Source organism: Homo sapiens, chromosome 4 (genome assembly GCF_000001405.40).
Source record: "Homo sapiens chromosome 4, GRCh38.p14 Primary Assembly".
Lineage (NCBI taxonomy): Eukaryota > Metazoa > Chordata > Mammalia > Primates > Hominidae > Homo > Homo sapiens.
Genome location: NC_000004.12, coordinates 36,638,536 through 36,662,049, shown reverse-complemented (window position 1 = coordinate 36,662,049; position 23,514 = coordinate 36,638,536). Strand labels below are relative to the sequence as shown.

The window sequence follows — 23,514 nt, the reverse complement described above, 5'->3', positions numbered from 1 at the left end:
AGATTATTATTTTATTTGTCTGGAATTCACATTTTGGAAATTTCTTAATCTTTCTCCCTCTTTCCATTAGTATTCACTCACCTATGAGTGAGAACATGCAGCGTTTGGTTTTCTGTCCTTGTGATAGTTTGCTAAGAATGATGGTTTCCAACTTCATCCATGTCCCTGCAAAGACATGAACTCATCCTTTTTTATGGCTGCATAGTGTTCCATGGTGTATATGTGCCATATTTTCTTAATCCAGTCTATCACTCTTGGGTATTTGGGTTGGTTCCACGTCTTTGCTATTGTGAATAGTGCTGCAATAAACATACCTGTGCATGTGTCTTTATAGTAGCATGATTTATAATCCTTTGGGTATACACCCAGTAATGGGATTGCTGGGTCAAATGGTATTTCTAGTTCTAGATCCTTGAGGAATCGCCACACTCACTGTCTTCCACAATGGTTGAACTAATTTACACTCCCACGAACAACGTAAAAGCGTTTCCATTTCCCCACATCCTCTCCAGCATCTGTTGTTTCCTGACATTTTAATGATCACCATTCTAACTGGTGTGAGATGGCATCTCATTGTGGTTGTGATTTGCATTTCTCTGATGACCAGTGATGATGAGCATTTTTTCATGTGTCTGCTGGTTGCATAAATATCTTCTTTTGAGAAATGTCTGTTCATATCCTTTGCCCACTTTTTGATGGGGTTGTTTGTTTTCTTGTAAATTTGTTTAAGTTGTTTGTAGATTCTCTATATAAGCCCTTTGTCAGATGGGTAGATTGCAAATATTTTCTCGCATTCTTTTGGTTGTCTGTTCACACTGATGGTAGTTTCTTTTGCTGTGCAGAAGCTCTTTAGTTTAATTAGATCCCATTTGTCTATTTTGGCTTTTGTTGCCATTGCTTTTGTTGTTTTAGACATGAAGTCCTTGCCCAAGCCTGTGTCCTGAATGGTATTGCCTATGTTTTCTTCTAGGGTTTTTATGGTTTTAGGTCTTACATTTAAGTCTTTAATCCATCTTGAGTTAATTTTTGTATAAGGTGTAAAGAAGGGATTCAGTTTCAGCTTTCTACATATGGCTAGCCAGTTTTCCCAGCACCATTTATTAAACAGGGAATCCTTTCTCCATTTCTTGTTTTTCTCAGGTTTGTCAAAGATCAGATGGTTTTAGATGTGTGGTGTTATTTCTGAGGCTTCTGTTCTGTTCCATTCATCCATATCTCTGTTTTGGTACCAGTACCATGCTGTTTTGGTTACTGTAGACTTGTAGTATAGTTTGAGGTCAGGTAGTGTGATTGCCTCCAGCTTTGTTCTTTTGGCTTAGGATTGTCTTGGCTATGTGGGCTCTTTTTTGGTTCCATATGAAATTGAAAGTAGTTTTTTCCAATTCTGTGAAGAAAATCATTGGTAGCTTGATGGGAATGGCATTGAACCTATAAATTACCTTGGACAATATGGCCATTTCCACAATATTGATTCTTCCTGTCCATGAGCATGGAATGTTCTTCCATTTGTTTGTGTCCTCTTTTATTTTGTTAAGCAGTGGTTTGTAGTTCTCCTTGAAGAGGTCCTTCACATCCCTTGTAAGGTGGCTTCCTAGGTATCTTATTCTCTTTGTAGCAATTGTGAATGGGAGTTTACTCGTGATTTGGCTCTCTGTTTGTGTGTTAATGGTGTATAAAAATGCTTGTGATTTTTGCACATTGATTTTGTATCCTGAGACTTTGCTGAAGTTGTGTATCGGCTTGAGGAGATTTTGGGCTGAGACAGCGGGGTTTCCTAAATATACAATCATCTCATCTGCAAACAGGGACAATCTGACTTGTTTTTTTCCCAATTGAATACCCTTCATTTCTTTCTCTTGCCTGATTGCCCTAGCCAGAACTTCCAACACTATGTTGAATAGGAGTAGTGAGAGAGGGCATCCTTGTCTTGTGCTGGTTTTCAAAGGGAATGCTTCCAGTTTTTGCCCATTCAATATGATATTGGCTGTGGGTTTGTCATAAATATCTCTTATTATTTTGAGATATGTTCCATCAATACCTAGTTTATTGAGAGTTTGTAGCAAGAAGGGCTGTTGAATTTTGTTGAAGGCCTTTACTGCATCTGTTGAGATAATCACGTGGTTTTTGTCACTGGTTATGTTTATGTGATGGATTACATGTATTGATTTGCATATGTTGAACCAACCTTGCATCCCAGCGATGAAGCTGATGTGATCATGGTGGATAAGCTTTTTGATGTGCTGCTGGATTCGGTTTGCCAGTATTTTATTGAGGATTTTCTCATTGATGTTCATCAGGGATATTGGAGTAAAATTCTCTTTTTTTTGTTGTGTCTTTGCCCAGGTTTGTTATCAGGATGATGCTGGCCTCATAAAATGAGTTAGGGAGGATTCCCTCTTTTTCTATTGATTGGAATAGTTTCAGAAGTAATGGTACCAGCTTCTCTTTGTCCCTCTGGTAGAATTCGGCTGTGAATCCATCTGGTCCTGGACTTTTTTTGGTTGGTAGGCTATTAATTATTACCTCGATTTCAGAACCTGTAATTGGTCTATTCAGAGATTCCACTTCTTCCTGGTTTAGTCTTGGGAAGGTGTATGTGTCCAGGAATTTATCCATTTCTTCTAGATTGTCTAGTTTATTTGCATAGAGGTGTTTATAGTATTCCCTGATGGTAGTTTGTATTTCTGTGGGATCGGTGGTGATATCCCCTTTATCACTTATATTGCTTCTATTTGATTCTTCTCTCTTTCCTTCTTTATTAGTCTTGCTAGCAGTCTATTAATTTTGTTCATCTTTTCAAAAAACCAGCTCCTGGATTCATTGTTTTTTTTTTGTAGAGTTTTTGTGTCTCTATCTCCTTCAGTTCTGCTCTGATCTTAGTTGTTTCTTGCCTTCTGGTAGCTTTTTAATTTATTTGCTCTTGCTTCTCTAGTTCTTTTAATTGTGATGTTAGGGTGTCTATTTTAGATCTTTCCTGCTTTCTCTTGTGGGCATTTAGTGCTATAAATTGCCCTCTACACACTGCTTTAAATCTGTCCCAGAGATTCTAGTACATTGTGCCTTCATTATCATTGGTTTCAAAGAACATCTTTATTTCTGCCTTCATTTCATTATTTATCCAGTAGTCATTCAGGAGCAAGTTGTTCAGTTTCCATGTTGTTGTGCAGTTTTGAGTGAGTTTCTTAATCCTGAGTTCTAATTTGATTGCACTGTGGTCTGAGATACAGTTTCTTGTGATTTCTGTTCTTTTACATTTTCTGAAGAGTGCTTTACTTCCAATTATGTGGTCAATTTTAGAATAAGTGTGATGTGGTGCTGAGAAGAATGTATATTCTGTTGATTTTGGGCAGAGAGTTCTGCAGATGTCTATTAGGTCTGCTTGGTGCAGAGCTGAGTACAAGTCCTGGATATCCTTGTTAACCTTCTGTCTTGTTGATCTGCCTAATATTGACAGTTGAGGGTTAAAATCTCCCATTATTATTGTGTGAGAGTCTGAGTCTCTTTGTAAGTCTGTAAGGACTTGCTTTATGAATCTGGGTGCTCCTGCATTGGGTGCGTATATATTTAGGATAGTTAGCTCTTCTTGTTGAATTCATCCCTTTACCATTATGTAATGGCCTTCTTTGTCTCTTTTGATCTTTATTGGTTTAAAGTCTGTTTTATCAGATACTAGGATTGCAACCCCTGCTTCTTTTTGCTTTCCATTTGCTTGGTAGATCTTCCTCCATCCCTTTATTTTGAGCCTTTGTGTGTCTCTGCACATGAGATGTGTCTCCTGAATACAGTACACTGATGTGTCTTGACCCTTTATCCAATTTTTCAGTCCATGTCTTTTAATTGGGGCATTTAGCCCATTTACATTTAAGGTTAATATTGTTATGTGTGAATTTGATCCTGTCATTGTGATGTTAGCTGGTTATTTTGCCTGTTAATTGATTCAGTTCCTTCATAGCATCTATGGTCTTTGAAATTAGGCATGTTTTTGCAGTAGCTGGTACCGGGTGTTCCTTTCCATGTTTAGTGCTTCCTTCAGGAGCTCTTGTAGGGCAGACCTGGTGCTAACAAAATCTCTCAGCATTTGCTTGTCTGTAAAGGATTTTATTTCTCCTTCACTTATGAAGGTTTGTTTGGCTGGATATGAAATTCTGGGGTTGAAAATTCTTTTCTTTAAGAATGTTGAATATTGTCCCCACTCTCTTCTGGCTTGTAGGGTTTCTGCCAAGAGATCTGCTATTAGTCTGATGGGCTTCCCTTTGTGGGTAACCCGACCTTTATCTCTGGCTGCCATTAACATTTTTTTCCTTCATTTCAACCTTGGTGAATATCTGACAATTATGTGTCTTGGGGTTGCTCTTCTTGAGGAGCATCCTTGTGGTGTTCTGTGTATTTCCTGAATTTGAATGTTGGCCTGCCTTGCTAGGTTGGGGAAGTTCTCCTGGATAATATCTTGAAGAGTGTTTTCTAACTTGGTTCCATTCTCCCTGTCACTTTCAGGTACAGAAATCAAACATAGATTTGGTCTTTTCACATAGTCCCATATTTCTTGGAAGCTTTGTTAGTTTCTTTTTACTCTTTTTTCTCTAATCTTGTCTTCTTGCTCTATTTCATTCATTTGATCCTCAATCACTGATATCCTTTCTTCCACTTGATGGAATTGGCTATTGAAGCTTGTGCAAGCATCATGAAGTTCTCATGCTGTGGTTTTTCAGCTCCATCAGGTCACTTAAGGTCTTCTCTACACTGTTTGTTCTAGTTAGCCATTTGTCTAACCTTTTTTCAAGGTTTTTAGCTTCCTTGCATTGGGTTAGAATATGCTCCTTTAGCTCGAAGAAGTTTGTTATTACCGATCTTCTGAAGCCTACTTCAACTTGTTAAAGTCATTCTCCATCCAATTTTGTTCCATTGCTGGCGAGGAGCTGAGATCCTTTGGAGCAGAAGAGGGACTCTGGTTTTGGGAATTTTCAGCTTTTCTGCTCTGGTTTCTCCCCATCTTTGTGTTTTTATCTACTTTTGGTCTCTGATGTTGGTGACCTACATGTGGGGTTTTGGTGTGGATGGCCTTTTTGTTGGTTGATGCTGTTCCTTTCTGTTTTTTAGTTTTCCTTCTAACATTCAGGCCCCTCAGCTGCATGTCTGTTGGGGTTTGCTGGAGGTCTACTCCAGACCCTGTTTGCCTGGGTATCACATGCAGAGGCTGCAGAACAGCAAATACTGCAGAACAGCAAATAATGCTGCCTGATCCTTCCTCTGGAAGCTTCACCCAAGAGGGGCATCTGCCTGTATGAGGTGTCTGTTGGCCCCTACTGGGAGGTGTCTCCCAGTTAGGCTACACAGGGTTCAGGTACCCACTTGAGGAGGCAGTCTGTCTGTTCTCAGAGCTCAAACACCATGATGGGAGAACCACTGCTCTCTTCAGAGCTGTCAGACGGGGATGTTTAAGTCTGCAGAAGTTGTCTGGTGTCTTTTGTTTAGCTGTGCCCTGCCCACAGAGGTGGAGTCTATAGAGGCTGTAGGCCTTGCTGAGCTGCAGTGGTCTCCACCCAGTTCGAGCTTCCCGGCAGCTTTGTTTATTTACTCCAGCCTCAGCAATGGTGGACACCTCTCCCCACACCAGGCTGCAGCCTCACAGGTTGACCTCAGACTGCTGCGCTAGCAGTGAGCAAGGCTCCGTGGGTGTGGGACCCACTGAGCCAGGCACGGGTAGGGAATCTCCTGGTCTGCCAGTTGCTAAGACCATGGGGAAAGCACAGTATTTGGGCAGTAGTGTACCATTTTTCCAGGTACAGTCTGTCCAGCTTCCCTTGGCCAGAAAAGGGAAATCCCCCAAGCCCTTGCACTTCCTGGGTGAGGTGATGCCCTGCCCTGCTTCAGCTCACCCTCCATGGGCTGCACCCACTGTCCAACCAGTCCCAGTGAGAAGAACCAGGTACCTCCGTTGGAAATGCAGAAATCACTTGTCTTCTGTGCCAATCTTGCTGGGAGCTGCAGACCAGAACTGTTTCTATTCAGCCAACTTAGAAGCCTAACTTCTGTTTCTTATTCTTTCTTTCATGTGCTGAAATTTAAACTGATCTAGAGCCAAGACCCTTTTGGGGCCTAGCCATACTTTGTTTCAGAATGATCATTGTTTCAGAAAATGATCATTGTTTCTTGTTTCTATACAATATGGCTGGCCAGAAAATAATAATATTTGATGATTAAACTTTTGACTTAGGTCTCAAAATTGAACTAAGCCTTCTAATCAAGCTTTATCAGAGTTCTGCCATGGCAAATACTACAGGAGACTCAGCTAACACTAAAGGGTTGATTTACCTTCCATTCTCTATGTATCTTAGGTGTCTACTTCCCTTGGGAATCTCATGATTTGGAAAGGTGATAGGCAAAGCAGAATTCAACTGCATCCTAGACTTTAGATATAAGACTGTCAATTTTTAAAAAAATTAGCTCAATGATAATAATAATTTTTTAAAAACCCTCACTTTAACCTGTAATGCATAACATTTTGGCTGCCTACATTTCTCCATTCAAACACAGAATGCTATATAAATAAAATTTTGTAGTCCAATGCACAAATCTGGATCTGGTACACAAGCCTTGGTATGGTTTAGATATTTATTTGTCCTGTCCAAATCTCATGTTGAAATATAATCTCCAGTGTTGGAGGTGGGGCCTGGGTTGTGGAAGTGGATCCCTCATGGCTTGGTGCTGCCTTTGTGATAATGAGTGAGTTCTAATGAGATCTGGTTGTTTACAAGTGTATGGCACCTTCCCCCAACCAACTCTTGCTCCAGCTCTCGACGTGTGAGATGCCTGCTCCTGCTTCACTGTCCACTATGAATAAAAGCTCCCTGAGTCCACCTCAGAAGCTAGTCAGATAATAGCGCCATGCTTTTTGTGCAGCATGCAGAACCTTGAGCCAATTAAGCCTCTGTTCTTTATAAATTACTCAGGCTCAGGTATTTATAGTGATGCAAGAACAGCCTAACACAGTGACCCAAAGGTCTGTTATACCCTGAGTCCCAGATATTACTGTTTTTCACAGTTACTTCCATGTTTAGTGTGAACACACTCATTGGAATATTACATGTAATGTTATCTTGCCTTCATATATAGATACCTTGTGTGTGTGTGTGTGTGTGTGTGTGTGTGTGTGTGTGTGTGTACAAAGTGAGAAAGCAGCTTCCTTGGACTTCCAAGCACACAGATATCCAACTGCAGAGACTTGTTTGTATCATCATTTCAGATGGTTATAATCTATGCTTTTCAGGTTCATGGCCACCTCTCTCCTGGACCATGTCTACTTGTCCCCTGATGATGGCCTAATGAAATTGCATTTTTGTATAATAGAAGAGTCTCTCTACTATTACATCTCTTGCCACAGCATAACTGATACACTTTTCAATTCATGGCTAGGATTTCTTATAATGGAGCATGATGTTCCAAATGAAAGACTCCCTTCAACTCTAGTTTTCATCTCCATTCTACAACTAAAGGCCAGTATCTGGGAGAACCACAGAGCACCTGGAAGAACTTCTAGGAACAATAGATTCTCTAGAAGAAATTCTGAGTGGGATGTGTAGCCTGATTTCACCCCATCATACATATACAATTGTCCAAGGATACAGAGACTGCTACCTGGGGACACTTGAGGTTATGGTGTGTGTCAGTGCTATGATCTGCTGAATCCAGTCTCACTATCTCACTGCTCACTATTTCAGGCTATTTCTAGCTCCTTGAGACTCTGCATTATCACCTTATACCAGAGCAACCTGCCACAGTCTTCAGGATGAGGACTGATGTATGACATAGAGGAGGTGCTGGAATATCAGTAGCTCATTAGCCACGGACAGTGTCTGGTATATATAAAGGGAATGGCTGAGAGCAGTGAGTTGTGAGAAATGTCCTTTGATCTCAGATACTCACCCACATGTGTGAGGACCTTCCATTCAGATGCTTCGGGCAAATACTGGCTTTCCTCTATTTCAGGAGAGAATCTTAAAGAAGGGATGGTGTTAACTGCATAGAGGTCCCTGCGTCAAGGAAGCATTCCTGACTTATATTTTTGTGTCAGCTCAAACCACTGCAAGTATCAGTCCCCTCTGTTTAGAACCTCCTGGACCTTCTAGTATAGGTCCATCTTCTCACCTGGCTCTGCACAGATACAGTGACTCATCTTCTTACTCCTTACCTCTTGGGTTCCAAGCCCCACAACAGTGACAGAAACAGACAATGCTGGTTTTATTAGTTCTGTATCGCCGCTGTAACAAATTATTACAAACTTCGTGGCTCCAAACAGCACAAACTTATCTCATAATCCTGGAGGTCAGAAGCCACAGTTGGATCCCACTGGCCTAAAATTAAGATGCTGGCAAGCCTGCATTTCCTTCTGAAAGTTTTAGGGTAGAATCTATTTCTTTGCCTCTTCCAGCTTCTAGAGGCCACCAGCCTACCTTAGCTCTTGGACCCCTACTCCCAGCATAAAAGACACCAATGTTGCATTTCTCTCTGGCTGCCTTTCTGTAGTCACAGCTCCCACTGACCTCTTCTGCTGCCCTCTCCCACTTTTAAAGACTTTTAAGGACCCTTGTTATTACTTTGGCCCACCTAGATAATGTAGGATAGTTTTCCTCTTTAAAGTCAGCTGATTAGCAACTTTAATTCTCCTATGTCATGTAACAACATATTGATAGGTTCCAGGAATTTGAAATGGCTGTTTTCTAGGGTATGGGGAGTAATATTTTGCCTATCACATCAGGCTCAAACTTATAGCTCACCTCTAGCTCTGCCTGTTAGAGGCTAGTATATCTGCTGTTGATTTTCCTACTAGCTTCTTGCAGTATCACTAGGTTACAAGCATCTAGGTAAAGCCTGTCCTTCTTCTGATTTATACTTTTACTGTTCACTTGATCAACATCTCAATTTCCATCTGTTTTTCATGTACTATGTTTAGTCCTCCTAAAATTCTGTTGCTTGGGAGACACCCACAGGATTGGAAACATGTCAACAAACCTAGAGAGATGTCATACTTTACTTGGAAACTTGAAACCTATGTTTGGTGTCAGATAAAATAGTTTGGAGGAAAAGACATGAGTACCTAAAGAGGCTGTCCTTCTGAGCAGTGGTTAAGGGAAATGAGATGTTTCTCGCATGTGATAGCTGAGATATACCAGTGACTAAACAATACAATGCAAAATGATACTTTGCAAGCTGTCACTTTTATTCTTTTTAATTAAACAGTTATAATTTTTTAAAGATGATGTGGAATTGTAAACTGAATGATTTAATTATTATATTCAAAAGCAGCAGGTGTATGGTACAAATGAAACTATGGAATAACAATTAAACACCAGTTCTCACTCCTGTAAAAACACAAAGGGAGGGCAGTAAGCAATTACATAGTTTGGTGCTGCCTATTCAAGCACAAGGATGCTCCTTGATTGTCTCTAGCAATTAGCATTTTCTATTTCTCAAAGCAATTATTTATATTCTTTTTGTTCTAATGGATCTTATTAATCACATCCGTCAAATATACAAATAGCATCTATTAACTCCGGCAGTGAAACATTTAAAATCTTGCATTTATTTCTTAATGAGAGAGGCAAACAATAATTGAAAAGAAATATCTAGAAACCAGGTCTTAAAATGTGGATCAGGTGATATTGGCAGCCCAACAAGGGAATAATGAGATGATCACTGCAGAAACCAGTTCGGGTTCTTTGCTGAACTCCGCATCTGGATTTCTCTGTTAAGTGCCCCAACCTCCTTCAAAATCATGCATTAAGAATCTCTGTGTGATAGATTGCTACAATAAAAAAAATACCATCTGCTATGTCTAAGTCATTATTCTAAATGCTAGAAGGGTAGATACATAGAGATGATAAGATGTGACAAATGTCCTCAAAATGTTGACAGTGGGAAAATGCTTGTATCTAAAACAGAATAAAAAGGTAGACTATCCAAAGTATGACAAAGCAGTCATACTTTGTAAAATGTTCTAACTGTAAACGAATCAGGTGAAAGTAAGAGGAATTAATCGCTAGAGGAGAAAATGAACTCTCAGAACCATCTGTGAACTGATGGTTAGATTTATGAAGCAGGCAGAATTTTTGTTGAGCAATTAAGGACACCTGGGATTTTGATAAGTTGGATATGTTGAGGTAGGAAAAGGGATTGGTAAGGGCAACATACTTCAATAGTAGGAACGGTGAGTAGTTACGTGGGTATGATCAGGCATGAGGCACATTCAGGAGATGGTGAATGAGAGTAACAGTCTCTGCTTGCTCTTCTCTGAAGAGCCATGGTGATCTTTTTCAAATACAAGTATGATTCTGTCCTTCCCTACCTTAGACATCTTCAATGATTTCCAGTTACTCTCAATGGAGACCACAAGCTTTAAAATGTCCCAGTGCACCTATAGGATCTGGCTCCTGTTAAAACTTTTAGGCTCATCTCTTATTTCCGTCTACATTAGGAATCTTCATAACCTGCTTTAAACCACCTCATGTCTTGATTTCTGTTGGTACAGAACCCACGTGGTCTCATCACTAATCATCACCTTTTCACCTGACTCTGCACAGATGACTCAGCTTCCTCTTGTTCACTTTCATCCTGACTTGGCAACCCTTGAGGATTATCTTGGGCCTTAACTGCACCAGAGTAAGCACAGTTCTCTTTGTCAAGTGGCCTATGCCTGCTCCTGACTACCTTAAGAACTTCTCACATGCTTTTCCCTTCTGCTCGAATGATCTCACTTCTTCCACCTCCAAAGCCACTATCTTTCTACCATCCAAGCTAATACCTACTCACTTTTAAAGTTAAGCCTAACCTTCTCACGGCACGTCTCCTTGACAGTGAAGACTTGGCTAAGTCCCTTGGTTATATGACCTCAGGACCATTGTATGTCTCCTTTACTGTCATTAAAATTTCAACTAAAAACCAATTTTGGAAATGGTCTGCAATACTTGCATTTCCATCTAGTTAGTAAGCCTATGTTGTGGGAAACTACATATGTTGTTAACCATTGCATTTCACTTGCTAGCAGAGTGCCTGGCAGCTACTATGTTCCAAATAAATACTATTGAATAAATAAACAAATGAGGAGATATTAGGACAGCAGGCTGGGCCTGGATTAGGAAAGGCTACAAATTTCATACTGAGGATTTTGTGCAGAGAAAACAAGGATGTCTACATTTGAAAAAAATAACTTGATAGCTGAACTGATGTTTAGATGTGAGAAGGCAGGCTATGCAATAAACTATAACTTTCTTTACCTCCAAGCCTGAGTGCTGAATCAATTTGAGAGAGATAAGAAAAAATCTGGCACAACTTTTTTCTGGGTATATAGATGTTCAAGTTCTCATTTTCCACTTCCTTTCTTTTTTTTGTCTGTTCTCTATAATGTCAACATTTCCTGAGGAATATCTTTCTTCCAGCTTAGCCAGACTACCTGCCTTTATTGTACTTACATTCTTCCACTGCTCCCATTTCATCTGACAATGAAATGTATTTTCCCAATGCTGCAGCTTCTCGTTGCTTTTCTATGCAGATCTGATTCCTAGAGATATGGGCCTATTAAATTGTCTTCTTAACTTCTGCACTTGTAACAATTTTATTGAGTTATTTCTTTCCTTCATTCTGAGCAATTTGTATATTCTCTTAATAATTAGATTATCCATTCATTATTTATTAATTATTAAAAGCTACTACCCTTCTGTGGGTAAAAGTCTTAATCTCCAGCCACTGAAATCTAAAAGGATGATAAGATTTGAGTGTAATGGACAACTTTGAGGCTATCTGCTTCAGCATTGCCCTTAGGAACCTGTGGAGAAAATCACAGTTCCTTCTCTTGGTCCTGGAGGTAGGTAAAAACAACATGGAAAAGAAGCAAAACTTCGAGCAGCTGGTCTAGCATCATTTACCTCTATCTGGTACAAGCCTCAACTTCTAATGCCCTGTAACACTTATAGATGTCAGGCACCTTTGCAGTTTAAACTCTCAGTCTCCTGACCTGCATACGTGGCCAAAAACCCAACAAAAGCAGTAATTGAGACTGTACTTGTTTCAAAATAAGCTTTTCCTGGGACTACAAGAGTCTTATTGTTAATAATCCTTGAAGCTGCTGTGCCTGCAGCATAGGTGCCTATAGAGGTCAAGGTTACACTGCAGAGACTGCACATCAAGACCCCTGATTCCCAGGCCTATCAAGTTCTGTGCCTGGTGCCTGAAAGTGCTGAGGCCCATACCACATACGTCAACCTTCAGCCTGTGATCGACACTGTCAAAAGCTGCAGGGCTCTGCTAATTTCAAAAGTCACATAAACCTTATTTACCAGATTCTAATGTGTACCTGTCTCTCCAGGTGGTACAAGTTAGAAATCATTTTCGTAACTGTACAATTATACATTTTCACAACTGTAAAATTAGCCACCTGAGACAACAGGGCCATTGCAAATTGATAAGGTTAAAACTGCTCAATACTGATCTTACTTAAGCTAATTCCTAAAGCTACAACCCCAGGTTGTGCCAATTATTTGGGCCTCAAAGTCTACACCTTGGCCTTTCTCAGTTTCCAGCCTATGTCCTAATGTTTGACTCTTCAAGGACCTACTAAATAAAACTCTTGTTTGTTCTATGTCTGAATTCTGAACTATTTAAAAAACAGAAGGGTTCAGCAGTTAAAGATAAACATGCCAAATTATTGCCAAGATTTACCATATAATTATACAATTGCTCTATTTATAAATGGCAATGTAGCTTCCACATCCCTGCCCCCCGCCAAAAAATAGATTCAAGACTCTGCCACATAGGTATAGCCTATTCCAATAATGCTACCACCTTCGGAGACAGCAAACTACAGTGCACCTTGATGCAAATAACTGTGGTCTTACACACATGCATGTACATATATGTACACAAGCCAAAAGGAGGAAAGAAAAAGTGGACCCACACCAATAAAGTGTTACACCTATTAGAAAAATGACTCCTCCTCCCCTGAGAAGCAATAAGCAAAACATGGCTCAAAGTACAAGTCATGTTCCCATGTGGAAACATGAGCTATGGGACAGCCATGCTGTTCCCTCCCAACATTGGGAACACTGAAAATCCCACTGTGGCTCTAAAATGAAAGGTCTTAGCTATCTGATGCATCAACTTGGATAGCATTATCTAGAGTGAATTAAAGATATATTAGGTAATTGACTGCATGGAACAGTGGAGACAAACATTAAATGTTCTCACTATGAAAAAAAATGATAAGGAGGAGAGGTGATGAATATGTTAACTAGCTTGATTTCATCTTTCTACATTTGTACAGATATGTCAAAACACCACATTGTACCCCATACATATTGTACGTACGATTATTATTTGTCAATTAAAGACATAAATAAATTTTTTAAAAATAAAAGAGAATCTAAAGCCAACCTTCAAACAATGTGGTAAAACTGTTTCCTCCTGGCACGGTAATTGTCAGGTGAATTTGCTACAAGTCATGGGAGGAAGCCAAGCCCTACAGAGCATTTGACTCTAGAAGATAAAGTATACTGAGAGTCCTTCTCTAGCTAGAGGGCGGCATCACTGGCAATTTTGACTTTAATTTGCAAACCAAAAAAGGTTTTAGTAGACTTAAAATTAAAGCCAGGCATGCTTTAGACTGAATTTTTTTTTTTTTTTTTTTTTTTTGAGACAGAGTCTCACTCTGTCACCCAGGCTGGAGTGCAGTGGTGTGATCTCGGCTCACTGCAACCTCCACCTTCCAGGTTCAAGGGATTCTCCTGCCTCAGCCTCCGGTGTAGCTGGGATTATAGGCACCTGCCACCATGCCGGGCTAATTTTTTTTTTCTTTTTGTGTATTTTTTGTAGAGACGGAGTTTTGTCATGTTGGCCAGGCTGCTATCAAACTCCTGACCTCAGGTGATCTGCCCTCTTCAGCCTCCCAAAGTGCTGGGATTACAGGTGTCAGCCACCATGCCCAGCCAGACTGAACTCTTAATTGGAAGTCATTACTGCCTTTCTGAAACTGTCCACTAATATAAAGATACCCTAATGGTTTTAAATAGAGAAACTACAACTCTAATACCTATTATTGAGAACTCACCTGCATTTTAATGCTCCTTTTCCTTTAGGCAGCTACAATAATCTTTCTAAGAAACACTGGGCAATGAATAATTATACATTTAAAATTTCAGATCTTTGATAAATACTTTATTTGCTGCCTTCTTTTTACAAATTATTTTCATGCAGTTCTAATTGATTATACAATTGCTCTGTTTATAAATGGCATTACTTGAGGAAAATTGTTTTTCACTATTGAAATATTTATTGTTTCCCTGGCACTTGGACACACATATAACACCATAATTATTGTCTTTGAGTTCATACTTTGTATTAAAGATGTAGTTTTTACTTTAAATTCCCAAACCAAGCAATCATGTTAATGCCTTCATCACCTTTTAAAGGCTTGAATAGATAAAATCTTAAACAGAATAAAAGAAACATTAACAGCACTTTGTCAAAAGACAGAAACGTTGCTAATGTATGAGGGATGCCTTTGTCCCACTAGATAGACAATATTCAAAAGTTCACAGGATTGAAAGGAACGTGAGTTCTTCCAACATTTCACTGAACTCAGTGGGAGAGAAAGTACCTATTAGAAGCACTACCATCTTTGAAGATGGAGGATCCTCTTTTTCAGTAACTAATCTTTTCTACTTTGTTTAGGCGAATCCAATGGAAGCTTCAGAAGAAAAAACTGTTACTGATAATCACAGCATCTTTCAGCATAACCTGTTGCAGAGGAAGGTTGAAACTAGCACAGAAGACATACTAATGTTGGGTCACATTCCTGGAGGGATGCGTGTCAGGAACAATCAATCCTGGCACCAAGATTTCCTGACTGCAGTGACAAGTTCAAGGGTGAGCATATGGCACAAGAAAACCAATATGCCTGTTCTCTGAGAATCTTTTTTTATTTTAATAGACCTGGAGAATAAATCTTTTGCTGTGGGATCTTGCATTTTTGTAACATGGGGGCCAAGCGAGACCTTTCCCCTTGGCCCTCTGAAAGTTCACAGGAAAATCAACTCTCAAAAGGCAGGTTAATAGGAGGAAAGGCATACAAATACATTTAACAGGTATACATGGGAGCCTTTGAAACCACCTTTGCAAAAATTATAACTGAGGAATGTATGACAGCAAAAGAGATAGACCTAACAGACTCTATCTTGCTTCTGACATTTAAGCTGTTCTTGTTCATTCCTGGGCATAGGCTGCACTAACCTGGGAAAGGAGTTTAGTTTATAGTTTGACTCTGAAACAAAATTGATAATAGCCCTTTGCCAAAAAGACCCTCTTCTTGCCTTGGGATCAATCTGTCTTTGTAGGACTAACAAATTAGCTCCAAGATTAGAAATTACATTTTAGGGGTCATGCAGCCTCTGGCTGCAAGGGTCTGAACCTCCCCAAATTGCTCTTGCGGATAACATCACTATTGTAAAACCTAAGATCAGTGCTTGAGATATTTTGCAGACCTTGCATTAGATGGATCTGCTGACACCACCCAGACCTGTAATCTGGCTTCACCAGTTCTGCCATTCCCACCCAGAAACAGAAGACAGCAAGAAAACCTCGCTTCAACCCCGCTATGATTCCATCTCCAACCTGACCAATCAGCACTTCCTACTTCCCAAGCCCCTACCCAGCAAATTATCTTTAAAAATTCCCATCCTTGAATGCTCAGGGAGACTGATTTCAGTAAAAACAAAACCCTAGTCTTCCGCACAGCTGGCTCTGTGTGAATTAGCCTTTCACAATTCCAATTCCCCTGTGTTGATAAATTGGCTCTGTCTAGGCAGTGGGAAAGGTGAACCCATCGGGCGGTTACACCTTTAGAGGGTAGGACCAAAGATACAGGGGCAATTTTCCATTTTTATGCTTGGGTTCAACAAAGTATAGACAGCCATATAGAATATTATTGGACAAGAGAGCGTGGACCCAGAAAATTGGAGGCAGGTCTCAGTTAATTTAGAAAGTTTACTTTGTCAAGGTTGAGGATGCAACTATGACATAGCCTCAGCAAGTCCTGATGACACCCCAACGTGATGGAGGCACAGCTGGATTTTATACATCTTAGGGAGACATGAGATATCAATCAATATATGTAACAAGTACATTGGTTTAGTCTGGAAAGGCAGGACATCTTGAAGCAAGGGCAGGAAGACTCGAAACGGGGAGGGAGTTTCCAGGTCACAGATAAATTTCTGATCAGCCTTTCTAAAGGAGGCAATCAGATATGCATCTATCCTAGTGAGCAGAGGGCTAACTTTGAATAGAATGGGAAGCAGGTTGATTCTAAGCAGTTTCCAGCTTGAGTTTTCCTTAGTGATTTTAGGGGCCCAAGATATTTTCCTTTCACAAGAGTGTGGCCTAATGCTCATAGACTAAATGGGAAAACCCAGAGAGGTCTGTCTGTTCAGATTCTTGGCCTCTCTGAGCATGCCTCCTTCCTTCTGGATGTGGGGCAGGAACCCTCTGGAATAAGGGTCTTATGACCTATAGTCGAATGAGGTAGATCAGATCATTTCTTTATGACCAGTTTTTACACAGATGGAGCAAAAAGAAAATTAGAGTAATATTTTTATGTTTTATGGTTGACTTTGGGAAAAAGGGTTCTGGTTTGTATGATTCCCCCTTGGGGAGCAGGGATTCTAGTTTCTATGACTGGCCTCAGGGGAGAATGAAACTGAGAGATGGAGAGCAGAGAAAAACTTGTGCTTCTTAGACTGATGCTGAGGCCTTCATATTGGGGTATTGCTTTCTGAGCCTCAACAATAATAACGTAGTGAAACCATGACCCCATGCACCTCATCATGTGCAGAAGCTTGTTAAGCAGTAGAGAAAATAAAATAAATCCTGAGGTGAAGCAGGAGAGAGAAAGATGAGAGAGCATGGGAATGAAAGCCTGCATGTGAGAGACTTACTGATGGTTAAATGTCTGAATTTTACATGGTTTACTTTTTCTTAGTAATAAATTTCTCCCATTATATACTTGTTTTTAAGATAAGTATAGAGAAAGGCTTAAATAAAAATCAACACAGCCTCAGGACCTAAAATAATAACTCTTCTCAAGACCTGTACAAACCAATAGAAAACAAATCTTTAATTTTGGTATGTTGAAAATGCCATAGAAGGAGGAAGATAAATGCATAGAGCTCGGCTTGCTCAATGGGAATAAGGAGGGTTGAAAAGAGTCCTCAGGATCTGATTTTCCCAAAAAGGCATGGTTAAGCAAGGCAATGGAGCATGGTGTGTGAATTCAGGGTGAGTACACATTGCATGCAGGAAATAGCAACTGGTTTTCGTGGCAAGATGTGTGTGGGAGCCAGAAGGACAAGATCATACAACTAATTATTTGCCACACTCTACGTTATTCTGAAAATAATGATGGACTGCTGAAAACTTTTCCAAGTAGGGAAGGGACATGCTCTGATCTGCATTGAGATAAATGATTTTGTCTTGTAATCTGGAGGATAAGCAGAAGTGGCTGATACTGCAGGAAAAGAGGCCACTTAGAAGGTGATTAAAATAGTTAACATAAGAAATAACACAGGCATGTACCAAGATTGTCAGTAGGCTGGAGAAGAAAATACAGATTCAAAGAATATGAAGAAGCAAAGATTTTGCCACTGATTAAGAAAAAGGTTCATATATAAGAAAAATTGGAATGGGGGATAAGAGTAGGAAAACAAGGTGATAATTTGGTTTTAGCCTTTTTACATCGCTTATTCTTACAGTACTTTGCAAAGGATGCTTCTAACAAATGTTAGAATGTAGTGTTTGGGAATGTAGACCTTTTGTTTAGCACAGAGGTGAATATAACTGCTAGAGATTCACAGCTGAGAAATATCAACAGAATTGTTAGCTGGTTGTATGACATTAGATATAAATTTCCAAACAGGGTATACAATAAAAAGTGAAGAAGTCAAAGATATCATAATCTAATGCAAAAATTATCTAGATATATTTTTAAAAGAAATATAACAATATGTAAGTGTTATAAAGGAAATTATTGAGAGAAGAGATTTTACTGAATCCTGGAAGACTAGAGCACTGACTATTTGTCTCTTCCCCCTCATACCTATGGAGGTATGAATTTGTTTCAAAGAAAGAAGAGTTTTATAGTTATTAACATTTCTTTAAGTGGCAGTGAGTAGATAGACAGTCTAAGTTCTTCCATTGTGGAAGTATAAGCCTGAGTAATACAGAGTTGTCCCCAACAGGTTCTGCAATTCTCCAATTTGGCACAGTCACCTGCAGGCGCATACTGCTTTAGGCTGAGCCTTGGGCTCTAAAGCAACCTGTGTTGAGACTTGAGGTGTCTGCTCCTGTCTTGTGTGTATGTGTGGTATGTGTATGTGTGCTTGTGTGTGGGGTCTTGTGTGTCCATATGTACATGCATGTGTGTATACTTGGGTATATGTGTGTGCTCATGTGAATACATATATGATCGCTTTCTTCCAAACTGAAATCACCTGAAATGATGCAAAAGTCAGTTGACCCTGTTCAAGTTATTTGATAAGTTAACTTCACCAAGCTCTAAAATTTTAAAATGATGTTGCAAGGTAACTACAAACAGTGATTCCGATATGAAATATCTTTTGAAACTGTTTAAGACTCAGTATACTGTTTTATAATGCAACTGAGTAGATATTCTAACTTAAATGAAAATTAGGATTTTTTCAAGTAGATATTTGATAAACCAAATTTGCCAGCTTCAGTCGTCTAAAGAAGACTTATATAATTAGATTAATTTTTGTCCCACGTATTAATAATTTTCACAAATTAATTTTTGCAATTAAGGGTTCTTTTTCATTTTTACCATTTTTAACTGATTAATTGAACACAAGGTTGCATCTTCTTGTTCCAACTGGTTGCTCAAAATACTGATGTTCTAATTTTTATAAATTGCTCCTTTTTTGTCATTAATATATAGAAAATAAATTGCTGCTATTCAAAGTTCTGGTAGCTTACATAATTAGTAGATTACTTTTAAGAAATATATTTTTATATTCTCTATTACAAACAAAAAATTCCCTTTATTATTTTGTAGCAACAGACAAATTACAATTCTAAAATGTAAAACTCTCTGTGTGTGTGTGTGTGTGTGTGTGTGTGTGTGTGTGCATGCACTATTACAATATACCCTGTGAAGTCTGTGTTTTTTATTTCATAAATCAAGTGTCAAGGATAATTTCCAAAGACATATGAGCACATAGGATGCATAAGAAAGGGCATCATGGTAATATAAATAGCTAGTGAATAAATATTTATAATTCTATAAAGACCACTCATTCCTCAAGCCAATCTAATCAGTATCTCTGATGTAATGGATAAGAGTCTGCTAATATTCAGGCAAGGTTCAGAAAATCACATTATCTAAATCAGGTAAGTGATAGATTGAGGAGCTATATGTATAAATATTAATATATCCTGTCATTCCTGAATTTTCTTTTATCTATTGACTTGAAATTTTGAAGACAGTTATTAATTTCATTTTCTTTAATGTACAGAAAATAAGGTGCATATCTTATATGTACATGCTATTGTTATAAACATCACTGCATATAGAAAACAACAAGTTTTGATTAATCAACTGGTTGACTAAAATACAGAGTAAAAAATACTTCTGTTTTAGAGACTTGGAGTTTCAAGACAATCTGAATGTTTTGAATTGATAAATGTGTATACTGAAGAAATACATTTTTATAATTGTCCTTACTAAGGGGTAATTGTCTTAGTATTATTGCTATGAATAAAGAATTAAAGATTTAGAGCTTATCAATACCTTACTTTTATTTCTGGCAGTTTGTTTTCATCAGTGCTTTAACAGGAGAGTATAGAAGGCATAACAGGCCAAATTTTTTTCACCTGAAGAAAAAAATAAAGATAACAATACATGCCTTACAAATAAGAACTTTAATTGTGCATTTAATGAGCAATAGAAAAATTTTCACTTAACCATGAAAAAAATTTTTTTTATATATTTTAGTTTTATTTTTGAGACGGAGTCTCGCTCTGTCGCCCAGGCTGGAGTGCAGAGGCGCGATCTCGGCTCACTGCAAGCTCCGCCCCCGCGGGTTCACGCCATTCTCCCGCCTCAGCCTCCGGAGCAGCTGGGATTACAGGCGCCCGCCATCACGCCCAGGTAATTTTTTGTATTTTTAGTAGAGATGGGGTTTCAACGTGTTAGCCAGGATGGTCTCTCTCTCCTGACCTTGTGATCCGCCCGCCTCGGCCTCCCAAAGTGCTGGGATTACAGGCATGAGCCACCGCGCCCGGCTGAAAATGTTTTTTAAAAGTAAAGAAATAGAATTACAATTACAAACAATATTCAATATATTTAAGGCTTAATGTCTTGTCATTTCTTTTGTTTTCCTCAGTCTGTCCTTACATACATATTGTATGAGTTATTTACTGTGATATAGCAACTTACTTCAGAATTTAGTGATTTACAGCAACACACATTTATGATCTCATGATTTCTGTGGGGTGGAAGGCCAGTTGTAACTTAGCTCGTTGCCATTACTGGCTCAACATCTGCAGTGTGGTTTCAGTCAAGCTGTTAATTAGAAATGCTGTCACCTGAAGACTCAATTGGAGTTGGAAAATGCACTTTTATGGTTACAAAGTTGTTGCCGGGATTCAAAAATTCCAATGCTAAGCTCGCTCATGTGGCCTCTCCACAGGGTTCCCTGGCAGCTGGCTTCCCCCAGAATGAACAATCTAAAAGACAGTCAGAGAAAGACCCAAATCGGAAGCTATAGTTTTTTTATAATCTAATCTTGGAAGTGATATTCCATTACGTCTGACATATTATATTGATTAGAAGTGAATTAATAAGTCCAATCCACAAACAAGGGGAGAGAATTGCCAGGTAGCAAGAATCACTGGAGGCCATCTTGGAAGCTGCCTGCCATACCTGTTAGCTCTCATTAGGGAATGTGCCATTCTGTTTAGTTTTCTGGAGCCATCATGGCCACTATATAAACATAAATCCATCATAATATGTACAGGTTCTTGGATTGCTTTGTCAGAAGATTACTCAACTGTCACTCTGCACTCTTCTCTATGTTTCTTACCTGTCCCCTCTCCCATTCCCCTCAGCTATGTCCAACCTTCACCATATTCCTTGAGCCCCTGATGGCTCCCTGTCTTTCTCTCAGTCAGATGGCTGCATATTCCTTTTTCACAGAGAAAATAAAGTTCACCAAGCAGTAGCAATCTCAACTTCCCACCATATCCCCAGCACACACAAACTTATTGGATCACATATTCTTTCTCACTTTTTTCTTTTCAAACTTCCTCTGAAGGGTTTTTCTCTGAAGTTTGGAAAGAAAACTTTCATTTTTTGCATTGTGGGGGTAGTTTTTTTTAATTTGCAAAATAATAGGGGTCAATAGACATTTTATTTATTTTTTCTGTAACTTTATCCAGCCCTTTTGGGTTGCTGAAAGCAGATTAGGTCTGTTTTCCATGATGAATTAGAGTTTCCTAAACTTTCCTAATGAGAACAAACATTTGGAAAGCTTTCTTCCTTGGAAATTCTGATTCAATGCATTGGGTTGAGGGCTCAGGAATTTGCATCTTAAGGAACACTCTGGGTGATTCTTACCTTCAGATAACTTTGGGAAACACTAGGTAGTGTCATTTAAGTAAGATTATTTATTAAATAGTCATTTTAGGGAGAATATGTACTACTGTGGGGAGTAAAAAAAACTATGTAATATAAGGAACTTGGCCCCAAATTAGTTTCTTTGAGATAAAACAGAGCATTCCCTGAATTAAAATAGCTAAAAAGATGACAGACAGAAATATAAACACATTTTAGTCACAAAAAAAGATGTTGTAGTCTCTAAGTGTTTAAGTGATTGCAATTTCCTGGGCTTTCTTTGAGAAGATTTTCACAGGAAATTGGCTAGTATTTAGCAATGCTTTTAGTAACTTGAACATGTTCTTGTTTGTGCTTTTGTTTTTCAGAGAGAAAATGGAAAACCATTGTGGGAGGAGTTTGTTTTTGTTTTTTAATTTGCCAAATAATAGAGGTCAATAGATTCAGGGGGCTTATTTGGCTTGGAAGAACATAGATATTATTACATTATGCAGCAAAGATGCAGTTGGTGGGAGGCCTCTGCCTTGACTTGAGTTGACCTGTTACTATAACACACAGATAATTCTTGTAGAAAAAGGTAGATTTGTGACCTAATGAAGCTTATTGAGTATCTCTTTGTGTGGTTCCAGGCTAAGACTTCTATAATCATTCTAAAGTCTAATTCAGTTCTAAGCCAACTTTATTTACTATTACAATATAGCCACATTTTTAATTAATAGATTAATGATTTGGATCGAATATCATTCTTAAAGTCACATTTATAAAACACACAGACACACAGAAAGAGAGAGAGAAAGAAAATCTATAAGCACCCTAAATGTTACATTGAAAAAAATAGTATTCCATATGTGTAATTTTGCCAGGCCAGGTGTCCATAAGCAGCCAGAGCTGCTAGTTTCCACAAACCCTTTACTATTAATATAATCCTGATGAATGTGTGAATTACACATTAAAGAACTGGAGAAACGGGTGCCTGAGTAGGAGGGCTGGAATGTGAATACAAACCCATTTAGACCCCACCTGGGTTTTTTCAGACCCTAAAGTCTGATAGAATAATAAAAGCATTCTTACACATACACCTATACCAGGGCCCGCTTAAGATTAAGAAACTTTCCAAGGCTCTAGAGAAAATTTTCCAGATCCCAGACCCTAGTTAAAGATTAGATATAGATGGAATGAAACACTTCACTTGTAGGTGACCTTCCACATGTAGGCGTAGAGCTTAAAATGTATATAAGGCCTGGAGAAAAACGTATAACTTTAAGTTGGTCTGGTGAGTTACTCTGACTTTCTTCCCGTAACCCACTGTAGAAATAAAATACCTTCCTTCCCAGTCTGTCTATATCTCGTTATTGGGCCTCCTCTCAGAACAAGCAGCCAGACCACGTTTGTCCAGGAACATAAAGATGGACAATCAAAACGCTAGGGTTCTTCCTTTACAGCTTGGAAAAAATCTGGCATTTTAAAATTCATTTAAAAAGTTTAAAATTATAGAATAAATTCACTGACTTCATTTAACTACTTTTATATCTGACTACAGCCTTTTTAAAAAATATGAAACTGAATAAAAGTTGAATTTCTTTGAATGTTTTGAGTCAACGTTTAAAACATTTTTTGTTAAAGTTTTCAAAATTAAAATTAGTAAAACATACCACAGAACTATCTCCATATGTCAGGGAGGAAATTGCAGGAGACAAAATAGTGTTTGATGTTAGTTACAACTCAGTAGCAGCATAGTGAACTCTTTGTTAAGCACCTTTGAACCTCTTATGAGACAAAGAAACCACCTCCTGTTATGCTTATCCGAAGCAATTTCTAAGAGCAGCACTAGGAGTCTTCCACTTATAAAA

The 23,514-nt window shown here is 38.8% G+C and overlaps 1 long non-coding RNA gene across 1 annotated transcript in view, besides 2 other annotated features; it reads left to right on the top strand.

Moving 5' to 3' along the window:
- Positions 10,612–10,681: an enhancer, noted in NCBI's record as "active region_21411". NCBI's record gives its function as "activates an Ori minimal core promoter by ATAC-STARR-seq in GM12878 lymphoblastoid cells {active_cell/tissue: GM12878}" and the evidence as "EXISTENCE:reporter gene assay evidence [ECO:0000049][PMID:35858748]".
- LINC02505 (long intergenic non-protein coding RNA 2505) overlaps positions 20,150–23,514 on the top strand; it is a 145,364-nt gene continuing 141,999 nt past the window's right edge. Inside the window, exon 1 of the long non-coding RNA NR_149124.1 lies at positions 20,150–20,200. This is a non-coding gene — a long non-coding RNA (long intergenic non-protein coding RNA 2505). The remainder of the gene's footprint in view (positions 20,201–23,514) is intronic.
- Positions 20,306–20,975: an enhancer, noted in NCBI's record as "OCT4-NANOG-H3K4me1 hESC enhancer chr4:36642697-36643366 (GRCh37/hg19 assembly coordinates)". NCBI's record gives its function as "activates a minimal SCP1, AML or CMV promoter by ChIP-STARR-seq in primed H9 embryonic stem cells {active_cell/tissue: H9 hESC(primed)}" and the evidence as "EXISTENCE:reporter gene assay evidence [ECO:0000049][PMID:30033119]".